The sequence below is a fragment of the Homo sapiens genome, chromosome 15, assembly GCF_000001405.40.
Source record: "Homo sapiens chromosome 15, GRCh38.p14 Primary Assembly".
Lineage (NCBI taxonomy): Eukaryota > Metazoa > Chordata > Mammalia > Primates > Hominidae > Homo > Homo sapiens.
This window is the reverse complement of record NC_000015.10, coordinates 84,487,115-84,505,674: the sequence shown is the minus strand read 5'-3', so window position 1 is coordinate 84,505,674 and position 18,560 is coordinate 84,487,115. Positions and strand designations below refer to the sequence as shown.

General features: G+C 47.8%; 2 pseudogenes, besides 1 other annotated feature; one reads left to right on the top strand and one right to left on the bottom strand.

Moving 5' to 3' along the window:
- On the bottom strand, positions 88-1,355 carry DNM1P40 (dynamin 1 pseudogene 40; annotated as a pseudogene).
- Positions 5,012-5,878: an enhancer, noted in NCBI's record as "H3K4me1 hESC enhancer chr15:85043028-85043894 (GRCh37/hg19 assembly coordinates)". NCBI's record gives its function as "activates a minimal SCP1, AML or CMV promoter by ChIP-STARR-seq in naive H9 embryonic stem cells {active_cell/tissue: H9 hESC(naive)}" and the evidence as "EXISTENCE:reporter gene assay evidence [ECO:0000049][PMID:30033119]".
- UBE2Q2P12 (UBE2Q2 pseudogene 12) lies at positions 6,138-14,201 on the top strand (annotated as a pseudogene).

Here is an 18,560-nt window from a genome sequence, read left to right as displayed (position 1 = left end):
TTTCACTGCTCCCAACAGCACCCTAAAAATGGCTTGGCCTTTTCCATCCCCTGAGCTCCATAGAGAACACAGCCAGCAGAGGACACATTCTCTGTCATCCAGAAATGGGTTTCTCAGCCAAGGGACAGCAGGACTGGTAGAGACTGTCAGGCCACACAGCTGCCTGCACAGCACCGCCATGCTTGGCCAGAAGGGCGGGAGGGATGGCGGGGGCTGGCTGTCCACAGGCCGCGCATGTCCCGGAAGCTCACTGGAGGTGGTGCACTTTGGAGGGGCGATGTCAGGAGACAGCTTCCTCTTGCTGGGCTACAAGATTCCACAAGCACAGCACGGGACTGATTCCCAGTGCTAGAGGTGAGGCAGTTGGCCACGTATATATATGTATATATGTGTGTGTGTGTGTGTGTGTGTGTGTGTGTGTGAGAGAGAGAATTTATAGCTATTTATAGAACAGGGCAGGGGCATACCACAGAGGGGGCACAAGTTTTCAGCAACGGTCACACCTGGACGTGTCAGCTCACCACTACAACAGACTAAGTCACAGAAGAAGGGGGCTGGCTTTGGGGCTGGGGGAGCCACTGTCAAGTCACAGGACACCCGCCCAGGCAGGCTTGGAAAGGGAGGTCTCTGAGAAGAGGAGGGATGTGTTTAGAGGTCGAAGTGGGGCCTGGGGCTCTCAGGACGGGATGGACTTGCCTGACCCGATCAGCTGGCAGTTGGAGAGAAAGCAGAGAGAAAACGGGTTAGAGAAAAGCCAGAGCTGGTGAGGCAAGTGCAGAGTATGGGTGCGCTGCAGCAGCTGTGGAGGGCCGGGGAGGGGAGGGCGTAGGTGTGGGCGTGGCAAGGTTCCTGGAAAAGAGGGGCTGGAAGGGAAAGGGGAGGGAGATGGAGGGAGAAGCTGGAGCTTCATAGGTAGTGCCTGGGGACTGCGGCGGCCCTCCCTACCCCACACACGCTGGCCTGTCTCATGGAACCCAGGCAATCCACCCATCCACCCACAGTTCAGACCAATGCCAGCTCCCTCGGGCTTCCCTCTTCTGTGGTCCCCATGTCTTCCAACGCACTGGCCCAGGGCCACCTCTTGCTTGGAGAGCCCCATCCAACAGCCACCAGACCTGATAGAGAAGGAACACTGATTGAACCAAAATGGTGGAGCTATAAGGGATGGCTGGCTGGAGTGAATGCCAGAGGCCCCTCTGGGCCATCAGAAAGCCCAGGGTCCTCTGAGGAACCCTGGGGAAGGCAGGGAGGGCAGGTAGCCGGATGCCATTGGCCATAGACTTCTAAGTCTAAGAGGGGAGCCTTAACTGGTTGGCGGGGGGCTGCAGGTTACATAGGTGAGGCTGGGCCCTTCCTGCTGGGAAAAGCAGAAGAGGGAGACTCCGTGGCAGGAAAGGGAAGTGAGCTCTCTAGGCGGCGCTCAGCTGGGCCAGCAGCACTATTGGCTGAATAGCACAGGCAACCCCTAGAAGCAACAGGCCAAGGTGCGTGAGCCTGCTGGCCAGCAGTAGTGCTTCAGCAGGGGCCAGGGACCCTGCCTTCAGTCGCACGCTAGCAGCTATCATGGTACCTGGGAGGGAGGGAAGGGGGCTGTGTGTCCTTCCATGGCCTATGAAGTGTGTTGTGGGATGACCGCGTGTATAGGACTCTCAGGCTTTTATCCTAGATCACCACTGGATTGCTGACAGATAGAGGACGTGGGACCGTGACTATCACCCCTAATCTGCCGTGGATTTGGCTCTTGGCACTCCCAGGCTGGGAGCTGGATACCTGCCCTGGCAGCATGACTCAGACTGCGTGACAGGTACGGCGTGCCCAGGATGATGTTCCCAGGCCTCTGGCCGCCTGAGTCCAGCCCCCCACACAACCCCCTCCAAGCTCCCAGCCCCTACACCATAAACCATGAGCTCTGTGCCCTCTCTGATGGTTCCACAACTGCCACCTTGGGCATGGAGCCTGTTGTAAGAGCCCCCAGGCTCAGCCATGGAGACCTTGAGCAGTGGCACTGAGTCCCATGGCTCACAGGGAGCAAAGTGAGACAGCCAGCAGCACAAGGACAGAAAGAGGAAAGAGCAAGTCTGCAGCTCCAGAAGGGAGGGGCAGGGAGCCTGGCTCTGAGGCTCCAGGTATGCCCCCTGTGTGGAGCTGGGGCAGCGGGGCAGGCAGACCATTCATGCAGCAGGCAGTGAGGCATGTACCTACCATGGCTGACGCTCCTCAGGGGCCACTGATAGTGATTCTGAAAGACAGCTTCAAATCACATGGCAGGTCACATGCATGGGTGGGGCAGGCCTGGGGGTGGGGGACACACACACGCACATGCCGGAGTGTGCACACACATGCTGTGAGGCCCCACGGCCCACATGCACACACTCACACACATGCCCACAAACAACACGCATACGTCGCCCTCCCCGCCACCTCCCAATGCCCAGCACCCTCACCGGCCGGCACGTGCCGCATGGATCTGGGGCGTGCAGCCACTCGGCACGCTGAAGCACATGCGTGGGCAGAGTCACAACACAGATGCTCACCTGCACACAGAGGCATTTGCACCAGCTCCCTGCACACTCGTGCCTGGCGTGCTCAGAGGACCACCCATGCTGCTCAGGGAGACAGGGCTTGCTCACTAATGTCCGGCTGTCATTTCTCCACCTAAGAGCCTTCCATGGCTCCCTACTGCCTACAGCGTTGAATCCCAACAAGTCATACTCTTTGGACTTTGAAGGTTCTCCACCCTGTGCCCCACCCTCCCCACAGAGCTCTTCCTCATTCTGTCTCTGTTCCCTGCTTTGGCCAGTGGCTATCCGCGATGTGACCCACACTACACCTCTGCCCACACTGCAGCTCTTTACCCAGTTGCCCTCCAGTTCCTCACCACGTATGCCTATCTCAGTCATGCCCCAGACTGCATTGAAGCCAGGCTGCCTTGAAGAAGCTCTCCCAGACTGCCCTTTTCCCCAAGGCAGGGTCATGATTTACCAAAGGTTTCGTGTGTGTTAGCAAGACTGGAGTCGGAGCAGGCATCAAACTTTACATCCCATATGTCACACCTCACCATAGATCTGGGTGCCAAATAGCCTGAAGAGTCTGAACTCACGTTGGAAGTTAGCAAAGTGCTCCTACAGCCGCATCTGCAGTTAACATAGTATCCCTATGGCCACTGTCTCCCTTGATCCCCACAGCCATCCTAGGAGAAAGGCAGAACGTCATTTGCTAGAAGGGATGCTGAGGCTCTGGGAGGGAAAGGGACTTGCCTAAAGCCCCAGGGTGAAGCAGCATCTCTGGACTCTCATAGACAGCCTAGAGCTGCCAGCATTCCCTTAGGATCTGTGCCCTCGGGCCTGGCTTAATTTTTTCCTCTGCAAAGAGCCATCTGTAGGGCCAGAGGCTGGCAAAGCCTGACTCATTACTGGACGCCAGTTCCTTTGCCTGACTTTCAGTGATTTCTACCTTACCCTGGGGTTTTATGTTGCTTGTCTCAACACTGTCACTTCTCATTCCTCCACAAGTTGAATTGCTCACTCCAGCCACTTGAAGCATGCTCTTCTTAACACAGTTAGCTCTAGGCACATGGTTGGTGCTAAAAAGGAAAAAAAAGAGAAGAGCATTATGTCAATTTCATTGATTAACAAAAGCGATGGCTCCACTGCAAAGCAAAGTTGATACTCCTGGGCCTCTGAGTTCAAGAGCCTTTTAGACAAATGGCTCTGAGCTAAAACATGATCATGCATGCATATGCATCTGTCTTGGTCTGATGAGATAATCTGGATACTTGCTTGTTATCCTTGAGCATTTTCCTGCCTCATTAATGTATGTGTAGCCACCACAATAATAATCATAGCTAATAATGGCTACAGCTGAGGGCTTTCCTGAACCAGGCAGTGGTTTTAAAAACTTTAACCCCTAAAGCTGAGGACTTTCCTAAGCTAGATAGTGGCTTTGAAAACTTTAAAGTTTTCACATAGACTGTCATTGAATAATTTCTGTTTTTCAGATCAAGAAACTGAGACTTACTATCATATTTGGGATTAAGCTAAAAAAAAAAAAAAAGAAAAGAAACAGAGGCTGAACGCTGTCAAGTATTTCACAGCCAGCAGGAAATCGGAACTTGAACCCAGGCAGTCTAGCCCTGGGATCCTTTCCCCTTACCCATTATCCAGTGTTGGCTACACAAAACTAATGAGTACATATTTTCAACTATAGTTTAAGTGGGTGACATATTTTTCACTATATTTTATGTAGGTGACTTTCAGTTTGGGGGTATTCTACTTACACAATCTATTGAGCTGGATATTAACTGAGAGCAAACAGAAACTAATGAACTCTGAAAAACATAAAACATGAGCAACATGACGTCACTGCAAGAGACAAAACAGCACATAGCCTTCTTGTGACTGTATTTTGCTGACAGTCCATGAGCTGATAGCCTGAACTCAGCAGTGCTGTTCCCTTGGGAGACACACACACACACACACACACACACACACACACACACACACGAGTTGGTGGTTTTCTGCCCCCCACCCCCACCCCAACACACACACGAGTTGGTGGTTGTGCTGCCCGGAGCCTCCAGTCCGCGAGTGTGAAGAACGGACCAGATGGGTCCAGCAGTGCTGGGTCAAGGCCAGGAGGGGCAGCCGGAAGCGCGCGCATGCTCTGGACTCCTGCAGCCGCCGAAACGGGTGCGCAGGGGGCGCGCGGGTTGAGGGGTGAGGGGCGACGGGTGTGAGGGGCGAGAGGGACGGGAGCGGGGTAGGGGCAGCCCTTTCCCAGGCGGTAGCGGGGACTGTGGTGCTGTTGCCCTTTTAAGCTGCGGCTTGACAGGAGCAGCGCCTCCTGTCGGTGGAGTCTGTTACAAGGGGAGCAGCCGCCCAGGCCGCCACACAGCTCCCCGCAGAGGCCTCGGTGCCCCTTGCCATTTTCCAGCCCTACTCCGACTAGAGTTGAGGCATCAGGGAGAGGCGGAGCTGGGAGAGCGCCGCCGAGAGGTCCCGCGGGTGGTTGCGGCCGTGACAGCGGCTCCCGACGGGCTCACCTTCCGCGCCCCTCCCGCCAGAGGTGAGAGTAAAATGTCCGTGTGAGGGTTCAAGGCCAAGCTGAAGTTGTTGGCCTCTATCTTCCACAAGAACCAGGAGCCGCCGCCGCAGCTCACGCTCCACTGCAACATCACGGTGAGGCGCCCAGTGGCGGCCTCACGGGGCAGGGCGAGGGCGGAGAGGAGGCGCCCAGAGTCCCGGGACAAAGGCGAGCCTGCCCGGGAGAGGCCCCGGTTCCCCAGGCGGGGCGAGCGCGCCCCTTTCTCCCGCTACTGGCCCGCCCCGCTGTGTGAGGCTTGCGTGGGAGGAGGGGGAGGGCGCGTCTCTCTGGCTCCTTGCCGCGGGGCTGGCTTGGGGGCTGCCGGCACCTCTCGCCCCAGTCGCTGCGCCCTGAGGTGGGAGCCCGCGTCGCCCGCAGACCTTTTGGGGCCCATGATCGCCCTCAGTCAGCTAGCCTGCTCCCCTGGACCGCGACGGGGCGTGGCAGGGCGGCTCCCGCTGTTGTTTGAGCCCAGTGAGGGAAGGGGAAAGGCCTTTAAGATTTTCGGTTTTTTGGCCGGGCGCAGTGCTCATTCCTGTAATCCCAGCACTATGGGAGACTGAGGCAGCTGGATCTCCTGAGGTCAGGAGTTCTAGACCAGCCTGGCCAACATGGTAAAACCCTGTCTCTACTAAAAATACAAAAATTAGCCGGGCATGGTGGCAGGCGCTTCTTGAGATGGAGTCTCACTCTGTCGCCCAGGCTGGAGTGCAGTGGAGCGATCTCGGCATACTGCAGCCTCCATCTCTTGACAGTCTGTGGGTTCAAGCGATTCTCCTGCCTCAGCCTCCCGAGTAGCTGGGATTACGGGAGCCCGCCACCACGCCTGGCTAACTTTTGTGTTGTTTAGTAGAGACGGGGTTTCATCATGTTGGCCAGGCTGGTCTCGAACTCCTGACCTCAAATGACCCATCTCTGCCTCCCAGAGTTCTGGGATTACAGGCCTGAGCCACCGCGCCCAGATCCAAGGCCCTTAAGCTTAAATGCCTCGTTCTTCAGTCAGGTTTTCCTTGTTCCCGCATGTTCAGCCAATCGTGTTTAAGGAGAAACTAACAATGAAAACGGACTCGTTGATGGAGGAAAAGTTGGAATGCAGCCTCTGGTGCTGTTTGAGCAATCCCTCTATCCCGGGTCGCTGCTGTGTTCTGGAAAGGCGCATTGTACCCTGGATGCAGCAGGTAAGAGTCCTGTCCAGGTGCTCTGCCCGCTTTTTCTTTCAGGCTTCTGTATCAGCTGTTTTTCCCCTGTAGAATGTGCCCCTGACAGCCACCCCCTAACCCTACCCAATTTGTCTTTACGTGTCTGACCATCAAGGCTCTTCTGGGTCATATTTAATTCATGCTGATATTTCCCCTTCCTCCCCTCTTTAGTCCTCACTATTTTTGCTTTGGTTATGTTATGCTGTATTCTGTAAGGCTTTAAAAAAAATTTTTATGGTGGCAGGGGAGAATGTTTTATAATTATGCTTTGTGCTTTTTATCTTCCACTCAATAAATGCTTGGTAAATATTTGTTTTATTGAATGTATGACCCTATTCTAGCTATATTGTGCTTGAACAAAAACCTTAACTGCCTTGTAAGTTAACTGCTAAGAATTTGTCAGAAGTGCAGACATAACATCAAGAACTTGTCATGGATAGTACAAAAAGGTCTCTAAGGGCTTGATGGAGGCCTGTAAATTGACTTCCTATGAAAGAGAGTGTAAGAAGTGAAAATGTAAAGCATGACTGGAGAGCCAGAGTGATGAAGCCAGGGTCCCTTTCTCCAGATCCTTTGTAACAGTGTTATGTGATCTCTTCTAGAAGATCGTTCTGAAAGATAATGCTAACTCGGAACCTAGGAAACCATCCAGTGGGTTTCTGCAGCTTAGGTGTTTCAAATCCTCATCAGCACGTTTGTTTTCTCTGCCTCAGTTTGCTTACAATGATGTTCTCAGTAGCTACAATTGCTGTCTTTGAATATGTAAGCATTTTTTTTTAGATGACAGGGATATATGTGCATTTTTATTTTACCAAGTGTTAGAATTTTTACTCTGCTTTTGTGGGCTCTGGGTTAGCTACTTGGTTGTTGTAAAATGATTAGCAGGGAAAGCTGTGTGTGTGTGTGTGTGTGTGTGTGTGTGTGTGTGTGTGTGTGTGTGTGTGTGTGTGTGGTTTCTTTTGTTGTCAGAGGACTTAGAATTTTATTTTATATGGTAATTCTGTCAATTTACTTTATTCTCCACCCCACATTTATTGAACAGCAAATTATGAAAGTAATGTGTCCCATAAGCAGCCTTCAGAAGAATTACAGCTGCTGTATATCTGAAATTCTTTTTTTTATTTTTTATTTTGAGATGGAGTCTCACTCTATCACCCAAGCTGGAGTACAGTGGTGCAATCTTGGCTCACTGGAACCTCTGCTGCCCAGGTTCAAGCAATTCTCCTGCCTCAGCCTCCTGAGTAGCTGGGATTACAGGCACCTGCCACCGCACCTGGCTAATTTTTGTAGCTTTAGTAGAGACAGGTTTCACCATGTTGGCCAGGCTGGTCTTGAATTCCTGACCTCGTGATCAGCCTGCCTCAGCCTCCCAAAGTGCTGGGATTACAGGTGTGAGCTACCGCACCTGGCTGAACTTTCAAGAAGAAGTTTGTGCATCAGTTTTCAAAAAATTATGATATCAAAAGATAGCTGTGCCCTACATTTGGAAAGATACAAAAACTGAACATACTGGCAGGCAGTTTTGCTTGCTGGTGCTTGAGATAGAGGCACACATTGGTCTCAGTGGAATTATGGAGAAAAATAGATAAAGTTATTTCTAAATAAGACCAAAAAATCCTTTTCTTAAGCAGTGACAGGTAAAGAGGTTGTCTTGACTAACCTTGAATTGTGTTGCCCTTGATTGAGACAGTTTTATGGTGGGATGGTAGTGGTGATAAACTTGCTGGAAATTTGTCTGCTTATAGTAACCTTTGTGGTAGCTGTCACAGACAACTTCATCTTCACAGGCCTTGAAATTAGTATAAAACTAACAGAATGGAGGAGAAACAAAGGACCTGAATAATTAGATGCTTAGATAATTGTTCCGTGTTTTCATAACTGGTGAAAAAGAGCAGTATTAGAAGCACTTACACATTCTATAGAAGGAACACTGCCTGAATTTATATTGTGATTTTTGAGCACCATTAACTGTATAAAAACAGGCATATTGTAGGTAATATTTTAAAGACAAACAGAAAATTTATCTTTTCAAGATGGATCTAAAACTTATCAAAATTACAAAATTTAAAACGTGATTGAAAAATATTAATGCATAGGTTTAAATATTGGTCATTTTAAATGTCTTTCAAAATAGATTGTCTCTTAAATATTCAACTGAACAAACTTTGAACATGTAGAGTTTGTGCCGAAGGTTAAATTTCCTGGGGTGATGGATATTTTGTAATATGGAAAACAAAACCTTCTTATTTTAAGAAATTTAGAAAACTTTTAGGCAAAACTAGAAAATATTACCTATGTAATTCTACCACTCAGAAGGTGCCACTGTCAGAAATTTGTATCTTTCCAGTCATCTGCTCACCTCTTTTCTCCTGTGCTTATATATGTTTCCTCTCCCTTAAAAATCAGATATTTGTTTGTAATCTGCTTTTTCACTCAACAGTATTGTAGATCCATGTTATAACTTACTCCTCTACATTGCCTTCAGTTATTGTGTGCTTTCTGTTGGATGACTTTACCATGTAGTCAGTCATGTTTTCTGGTACTGAATACATACGGGTATGTGTGTGTGTGCGTGCGTGTGTGTGTGCGTATTTTTTTGTAACTTAACTAATGCTTTAGACATCAGTAGGTAGACGTAAATCCTTGAAACCTTCCACGTGGTGACTTTCAGTTCTCATTGCTGAATTTGTTTCCAGAGATGGAAGAAATTATATTGTATGGGAACTTTTTTTTTCTTTTTTTTTGAGATGAAGTCTTGTTCTTGTCGCCCAGGCTGGAGTGCAATGGCGTGATCTCACTGCAACCTCCACCTCCTGGGTTCAAGCAATTCTCCTGCCTCAGCCTCCCGAGTAGCTGAGATTACAGGCGCATGCCACCATGCCTGGCTAATTTTTGTATTTTTAGTAGAGACGGAGTTTCACCATGTTGGCCAGGCTGGTCTTGAACTCCTGACCTCAGGTGATTTGCCCACTTCAGCCTCCCAAAGTGTTGGAAATACAGGTGTGAGCCACTGTGCCCAGCCTTTTTTTCATCTCAGTACCAGCTTTTATTTATCAGATTGGTAAAAATGTTAGAAAGTGTGCAATGAAATGGGCATTCTTACAGTCATGGCAAAAAATATAATTATCTTTGACTTTCTAGAAAGTAGTTTGGCTTTCTAGAAACTTGTTTGAATTCTCCCTGTTTAGGCAGGATGAATTCTCACTACCCCAAGGTGGCCAACCTTGTCCCTGTGATTCCATCTCTCCCAGAAAGAGAGGTCTAGTCTCAGGGAAAACCCAGATTTGTTTGGCTTAGCCCACCTGACAGCTAATCACTGGAAATGGGGTGGGCTGGTAGAATCCTTTGGTCAGGCTTTGTGTTGAGAGAGAGGTGGAAAGATGGGAGGGAGGTAGCAAAACTTGCCTCAGTGGAACTATGTAAGTTAATATAGAATGGCAAAAGGATGTTTCTTCCAAGGAAGAAATTCTAGGGAAGCAAGAAAGTGGAGGGGAAGGCAGCAGTTCTCCAAGTTTTGGGGTCAGGATTCCTTTACACTCTTAAAAATACATTGAGGGCCCAAGGAGCTTTGGTTTATGTAGGGTATATCTATTGGTATTTATCACTAGAAATTAAATCAGAAATATTTAAAATATTCTTTAAAAGCTCACCACATATTGTTATAAATGCTTTTATGAAAAGAAAATTTCTAAACCCAAAGTAGTACAATCTTACATCTTTTGCAAATTTTTTTGATGTTTGATATGTCATTTGCATGATGTTTGACATGTCATTAGCAAATTGATATGTCAGTTTGCTTCTGCATTCAATTTATTGTGTGATATTTTCTTGAAAAAATGTGAACAAAGACCAATCTCATACAGATAACATTTTAGATCATTGTGGATATATATATATTTTTTGAGATGAGGTCTTGCCCTGTTGCCCAGGCTGGAAGGTAGTGGTGTGATCACAGCTCACTGCAGCCTCAGTCTCCGGGGACTCAGGTGATCCTCCCACCTCAGCCTCCGGAGTAGCTGGGACTACAGGTGTGTACCACCACATTTGGCTAACTTTTTGTATTTTTTGTAGAGACAGGGTTTTGCCATGTTGCCTAGGCTTCTTTTTTGATACTCCATCAAATCTTGGTTTTTCTTGAACTTTGGATCTTCCACCCTTGCATGATATTACAACATCGTGCATTGGTCACTTATAAAATAGTGGTTCACTAGGATCTTCTACATGTTGATACATTTGATTGTACAGTATCAAAATACATTCATCAATACCACCATCAATCTCATCAGAATACTTTTGGAAAGTGATGGTGGACATAAGTTTTCTAAAATTCTAATTTTTTGTTCAAAAGCTTGAATTTTATTAGTAATTTTGTTATTGAATTTTATTATAGCCTGTCTGTTGTTTTCCTTGAAATGACAGAATCTCATGTTTTGAGAAAATATCTGCCAGAAATGCGAGTTAAAATAACATTTTTTGTCAGTCAGCCTTTCAAGTAAAAATGGTATTCCATTAAAGTGGTTAATTCACTTCATGACTTAGTCACTCAAGGGTTTTTTTCTCAGGCAGCCTGTAGGAATGCTCATGTATACTTCCCATTTCATCACTTGAAATATTAAAAAGATATATTCAAGGATTTAGATATAGTAAAATATTCACTGCTTCATCATAGACATTTTTTTTTTTTTTAATTTTTGAGATATGGCCTTGTTCTGTCGCTGAGGCTGGAGTGCAGTAGCGTAATCACAGCTCACTGCAGCCTCAACTTTCTGGGTTCAGTCAATCCTCCTGCCTCAGCCTTCCAAGACGCTGGGACTACAGGCATGCAGCCACTGTGTTCAGCTAATTTTTGTATTTTTTGTAGAGATGAGGTTTCACCAGGTTGCCCATGCAGGTCTTGAACTCCCGGGCTCAAGGGATCCCCCTGCCTGGGCCTTCCAAAGTGCTGGAATTACAGACATGAGCCAAAATTCCCAACCTTATCATAGACATTCTTAAATGAAACTAACCTTTTGTTGCCCTTCCTTTTTATTTTTATTTTTGAAGACGGAGTTTTGCTCTGTTGCCCAGTCTGGAGTTACATAGGTGCAATTTCAGCTCAAGGCAACCTCTGCCTCCCAGGTTCAAGTGATTCTCCTGCCTCAGCCTCCTAAGTATTTGGGAATACAGGCATGCACCACCACACCGAGCTAATTTTTGTATTTTTAGTAGAGATGGGGTTTCACCATGTTGGCCAAGCTGGTCTCAAACTCCTGACCTTAGGTGATCCGTCGACCTCAGCCTCCCGAAGCACTGGGATTACAGGCGTAGGCCACCATGCCCCACCCACCCTTCCTTTTTAAACCTTTCCTGTTCATAGTGAAGAATACCATGACTACTAGTAGTAGTTTGGTGTTACTGCCTTTGTTTGTGCTAAAGTACCAGCATTTTTACCCACCATTGTATTTGCACACTTACAGCAAATGTCACCATGTTAATATTCCTGTCAAAATAGTTTGGACTTGGGGGTCTGAGGGCCGCACTTTGGGAACCATTGAAATAGGTACTTAGACGTACTAGATATCATATCTTTTCATCTACAAGGTTTTTAAAAACTTGATTTCAGTTAATTTTTTTTTTGTAATTTTTAAAATATGGTTTTGAGGGGTTTCAGTCCAGAGCAACAACACATATTTTATTTTGCTTACGCTGAAGTTTACTAGAAAATACTAACCTAACAGAATGAAGTCCTAAATCTAATTGCAATTTCCTTAGCCAAAATAAAAAAAACCCAAAATTAAAAGCGTAAAAATAGTCCATATGGTGTATTCTCAGTGTATGCTGAAGAATTTATAGAAGAAAATGCAATACTCAGTAAGTGGTGTTCTTTAAGAATAGGATTGGCTGGGCGCAGTGGCTCACGCCTGTAATTCCAACACTTTGGGAGGCCGAGGTGGGCGGATCATCTGAGATCAGGGGTTCGAGACCAGCCTGACCAACATGGAGAAACCCCGTCTCTACTAAAAATACAAAATTAGTGGGGCATGATGGCACGTGCCTGTAATCCCAGCTACTCAGGAAGGCTGAGGCAGGAGAATTGCTTGAACCCGGGAGGTGGAGGTTGTGATGAGCTGAGATCGTGCCACTGCATTCCAGCCTGGGCAACAGGAGCGAAACTCGGTCTCAAAAAAAAAAACAAAAAAAGAAAAAAAAGAATAGGAGTAATTCTGGAGTTTCTTTTAGCCTGTAGGAGTAATTCTGAAGAGTTTCTTTTAGCCTGTAAAGAGATTTGGAACACAGTAAGAGAGGAATGAGAAGAATGAGAATAGTAAAATAAACCATTATTGAAGAGATATACTGTTAATGATGTCCTCCATCAATACAACTTGTTTTTCTTTTTTTTTTTTTTTTTGTTTTTTGAGATGGAGTCTTGCTCTATCGCCAGCCTGGAGTGCAGTGGACATCTCAGCCCACTGAAACCTCTGCCTCCCGGGTTCAAGTGATTCCCCTGCCTCAGCCTCCTGAGTAGCTGGGACTACAGGCACCCGCCAGCGCGCCCAGCTAATTTTTTTGTATTTTTTTAGTAGAGATGGGGTTTCTCCGTGTTAGCCAGGACGGTCTCGATCTCCTGACCTCGTGATCCGCCCACCTCGGCCTCCCAAAGTGCTGAGATTAGAGGCGCGAGCCACCGTGCCCGGCCCATCTTGTTTTTCTTAAAAAGGAACCTTCAGTAAATATTTGGTTTCTGTGGCTTCAGCTTTAATTCAGATTACAGTTTTCAAAGCAGTGTTGCCTAAAGTTGTTTGTGCAAAATTGTTTTCTGTGACTTCAACCTAGTTATTCTGAAGCTAATATATAATAATAATGGTTTTTCCCCAATTTATAATAGAGAACAGTACAAAGTAACAGCAGAAATGTCTGTTAGTGGGTGAAAGCACATAATGCATAGTTCATTAGCTTTTTTAAAAAATCACATGTAATTGTGTTACAAAAATATATGTATAGTAATGGCATTTACTTGGTATTACCTGGTTTGTGTGATAGAATAAAATATTAGAATTTTATGGTGTTTGAGTTAGTTATCTATTGCTCTGTAACAAACTGAGCAGCTTAAAATAACAAACATTATCTCAGTTTCTGTGGGTCAGGATTCTGTCCAGTTTACCTTGGGTTCACTGGCTTGGCCTCTCACCAGGCAGTGAAGGTGTTGGTGGTGGCTGTGATCATCCCAAGGCAGGATAGGGAGAGAATCTGTCTCCAAGATCAGGTTGGCAGGATTCATCTCAGAGGCTGCTGGACTGGGCCTCCGTTTCTAGATGGCCATTGGTCAGAGGCCTTTTACAATACCTTGTCACGTGGGCCTCTCCATAGGGCACCTCATCACATGGCAACTGGCTTCCATCAGAGGGAGCAATGGAAAGAGCAGGAGAAGGGTGACCAAGGCAGGCATCGTAGTCTCCTTGTAGCCTCACCTCAGAAGCGATGTTACTTTTGCTGTATTCTCTTTGTTAGAAGTGAGTCACTAGGTCCAGGGGTGGAATTTTACAAGGGTGTGAATGGCAGGAGGTGAGGGTGATCAGGGCCATTTAAAGGCTGCCTACCAGTGTTGAAGAAAGTTGTTGACTTCTATGAGCTGTAGCAGCAGACAGTGCTATGCAAGGAGAATGGCTGTCTCAGAAGTCCAGCTCCTCACATGGGTTTAAACGTGTTGCCTTTTCCCCCTGATACATTTTGTTTAAATCCATGGTCATCTTGCCATTTAGTGGTGTGGTTTAATTGCATATTTGGGTTAGTCTGTATGTAAACATTTAACATAGGTGTCTCTGGGTTAAACAGGAATCCTATTCATCTTCTTCACCGATATGGTCTGTGGACTCTGATGAGCCAAATCTGACATCAGTTCTGGAACGTCTAGAAGATACTAAGGAGAACAGTTCGGTGAGGAAAGAAACCAAGCTATTTTCTCTTTTCCTCATGAACATTATATTTAGAAATTAAATGGTAAGTGATAATATTATATAAAAACATGATTAACAACTGTAATCTTAGAGGAATTAAAGTCTGGGTATTTTAAGTCCTCCAAATCTTATTTACTACCTGGTTTCTCTTTATTATTTCCCACATGTATAATCTTAGTTTAGATTAGCAATTCGGGATCTCTTTTTCCCTGAATTCTAACCATTAAGCCAAGCAAGCATTTTGGGTGGAGACCACTAGCCAAGGTGGGAAGTAGAAAGAAGACCAAGGTGGAAGTGAAGGGAGAGATGGGGAGAATGACACCAAAACTAGTGGGAGGGGATTGCCTTTTCTTTCAAGGGTCTGTAAGTCTGCAGTAAAAGTCAAAGGTATTCAAATAGGAAGTTTGTTTTTGTCTTTAGTATATAAAGAAGCATAACTTTCCATTTTGCAAAAACTTTAGAAACCTTTTTTTCTTGATTATAAAACTTATAAGCAACCATTATTGAGAAGATTAGTAAAATATAAAAAAATAAAAATCTCACATAATTTCTCTACCTAATATAACTACTGTTGACATGATAGCTAGTTTCTATCAGTATGTATTGCTTCTTTGTTATCAAAGTACTTATACCCTTACAGATATGTTTAAATAGTTGAGGTCATATTCTATAAATATCTATAAATAGCTGGGTGCTGTGGCTCACACCTGTAATCCCAGCACTTTGGGAGGCCGAGGCAGGCAGATCACAAGGTCAGGAGTTTGAGACCAGCCTGGCCAATATGGTGAAACCTCATCTCTACTAAAAATACAAAAATTAGCCCGGTGTGGTGGCAGGTGACTGTAGTCCCAGCTACTCGGCAGGCTGAGGCAGGAGAATTGCTTGAACCCAGGAGGCAGAGGTTTCAGTGAGTCGAGATCGCACCACTGAGGTCCAGCCTGGGTGGCAGAGCAAGACTCCATCTAAATAAATAAATTATGTATACACACACATACACACACCCTCATATATATATACACACATATGTGTGTGTATACACACACACACACACACACACACACACACACACCTACACATGACCGATTGCCTCGCCTCTAGCATTGGGAATCAGTCACCGTGCTGTCCTTGTGGAGTCTTGTGGCCCAACAAGAGGAAGCTCTTCCCTGACATTGCCCCTCCAAAGTGCGCCACTTCCAGTGCGCCCCACTGTCATGCCCGGCCTGTGGACAGCCAGACCCTGCCATCCCTCCCACCCCCGACCAAGCATGGGGGTGCTCTGTAGGTAGCTGTGTGGCCTGACAGTCTCTACCAGTCCTGCTGTCCCTCAGCTGAGAATCAAACCCATTTCTGGATGACAGGGAATGTGTCTTCTGCTGGCTGTGTTCTCTGTGGAGCTCAGGGGAGGGAAAAGGCCAAGCTATTTCTAGGGTGCTGTCAGGACCGATGAAAAGGTCACACCCTTTCCAAGAGACACTTTTCCTGGAAAGCCCCTGGAGCTTAGCTGGCTTTTATCCTGTGATAAGCCAGAGGCTCTGGGGGGTGAGGGAGCAGAAACCCTCCTCACCCCAGCCAACGGGGACCTGTATACCTCTGCCAGTCTCTCACTTGGCCTTGCTGCTGTCCTCTGAGACTGCCTGTTCCTCCCTCTCTGTGACTCTACACCACCATCACCTCCTCCAGGAAGTCCTCTGGATTGACTCCTAGCTTATTACATCTTTATTGTGCAGACCCTCTCCATTCAAAGCCCCTCTTCAACTGCCCCCCCCCCACTACCTCCAAGACAGAGATTCTGGATTCTTGCAACTGCAGCCCCTCAGAGAGTGTAAGAGGGGCAGAAAAAGGAGATCAGGAGGTGAGGGAAGCAGCGCTGTCAGAGTTTCCAAAGCCCCGGCCAGCAAGGCCTCAGAGGCCTCTGTTGGAGTGGGGGCCTCCCTGGCTATGCGCTCCAGCTGCACAAGGCAGCCTCTGTGAGCCTCTCCCACTCAGCCCTACAGGAAGCAGCAGGGCCCAGCCTCAATGGACCCATTCAGACCCCAGCGCTCCGGAAAGTACCTCTGCTTCCTGCCACCATTCCACTCTGGCCAAACAGGCTCTACTCTCTTCTGATGGGAGGAGGCCGCAGGCAGGTGGTTCAGTGGTTAGGGCCAACCATCTACTTCAGTTCCTGTCTGGCCCAGATCTCTGACGTTGACCATGCCCTAGTGGGTGTATGTATACCTTTAGTGCAAGGGTGGTGTGACAGTTAATACTGAGTGTCAACTTGATTGGGGTGAAGGCTGCAAAGTATTGACCTACTGGAAGTGTCTGTGAGGGCATTGTAAAAGGAGATAAACATTTGAGTCAGTGGGCTGGGGAAGGCAGACCCACCTTTAATACTGGTGGGTACCATCTTTCTAATCAGCTGCTAGCGAATATAAAGCAGGCAGAAAAACATGAAAAGGTAAGATTGGCCTAGCTTCCCAGCCTACATCTTTCTCCCATGCTGGACACTTCCTGCCCTCTAACATCGGACTCCAGGTTCTTCAGTTTTGAGACTCGGATTGGCTCTCCTTGCTCCTCAAACTTGCAGACAGCCTATTGTGGGACCTTGTGATTGTGTAAGTTAATACTTCATAAACTCCCCTTTATATATCTATCTATATCTATATCTATATCTATTATCTATATCTATATCTATTATCTATATCTATATCTGTCTATATCTCCTATTAGTTCTGTCCCTCTAGGGAACCCTGATTAACACAGGTGGGTAGGCACAGGGAGATGTGCCCCCTTCCCCGTGGGTGCTGGGTAGGTAAATGTTTCGCAAAGGGCTTTCTTGGGGAGAGGGAACCCTGATTTTCAGTATTTGCCTCTTTTCCTGGTATAAATATTCCCACTGTGGGCAGTATCACCTGCCTCTCAAAATTCCTGAAAATTCAACAGTTGGCTCCTGGCAGCTGCTGTGAGCCGTTCCAGCCGGTGACTGTGGTGGCTCCATCCTGCAGGGCCATGTGCCCCCACCCCTTGTGCTATGGCCACCCTCACTTTAGTGTGCTGTGTTTTGCTCTTAGGAATCAATGTCTTTGCAGATAAGGCACCCCAGTAGCTGGCCACCACCTGCAGTTCCCTGGTCTGTCTCTTGCTGGCACCAAGCTGTGCTGTGCCTGCTGAGACTGCTGGGCCACCCCAGCGCATATGGTCTGCGGGGCTTACTTGATTCCCTTAGCTTCCCAGCCAAGGTGCTGGTGTTGCCAGCAGTGCTGGCAGGAGGAGGGGATAACTAGAGGGGATTTAACTCAACCCGAGGGGCTCTTACGGGATCTTTCCTGGATATCCCTCCAGGTGGGGCTGGCTGCCCTGAGGGTGTACAAACTTCCAACTCCTCCAATGGCTGAAGCTACTTCCTCGAGCAGATGGCAGCTGGCTCAGGCTGGCTAGGGACCAGTGCATGTGAGGTCGGTGCTGGATCACCCCATCAAGGCCATCAGCCTGTGCTTGTTCTTGGGGTTTGAGGGAAACCCAACAGGGATGAATCACAGTTTTTAACCTGTGTTTGTCTGCCCCCCAGCCCTGGACATCTGCAGGCAAAGTTAAAGTTATATTTGGCTCTTATCACCACAAAAGGCATAGACCAGAAATTATGGCATCGGGTTGGAAGTCAGGGAGGCTAATTTGGGGAAACTGCCTGGAGGAAGCAGCAACTCAAAAGAGGAGGAGTCCCACTGTGGGACAGAACAGGCCCTGCATAAGAACCACTAACCCCAGGCAAGCCCAGACATGGCCTTCTGCCTGGGGAGGCCCTCTTTGGCCTGCTCAGCAGACCATCAGCCCCTTCTAGGCCCTGTCTTCAGCCTCAGACTGAGTGGTGGCCTGGGGAGGTTGGGAGCTGAGCTGTTCTCATCCCTGGTTCCTTGGCCACGGTGGAAACAATGGGGCCGGATCTGACTGCTCAGCGGGGACTGTGAATAGCTCTCTAGCAGGAAGCAACAGCAGGGGTAGTGGAGGAAGTGTGGGCCCACTTTGGTTTGACACTGCATATGGTCCCCATCTGGCCTGAGAGCCTTTACTCCTTGGCAAACTCAGGCCAATAAGCTCCTGCCCCCACCCTCAATGGCAGCTGGAAGAATGGCCTGAGGGAGAAGCAGGGATAGGTGGGCTGCAGTGACATCACCCCCAGATCCCAGCCGTGGCCCCAGCCAACCCATGGAGGTGGGGCATGGCACAGCAGGTGCTGCACAGGAGCCCAAGCACAAGGGCACTTAGGAGAAGGAATCTGAGCAGGGATCGATCTGGCCTGGGGGTGATTCTCCAGAAACTCCATTCCTCGGGGCTGTGACCACCAAGCCAGGTGATCAGGCCAGTG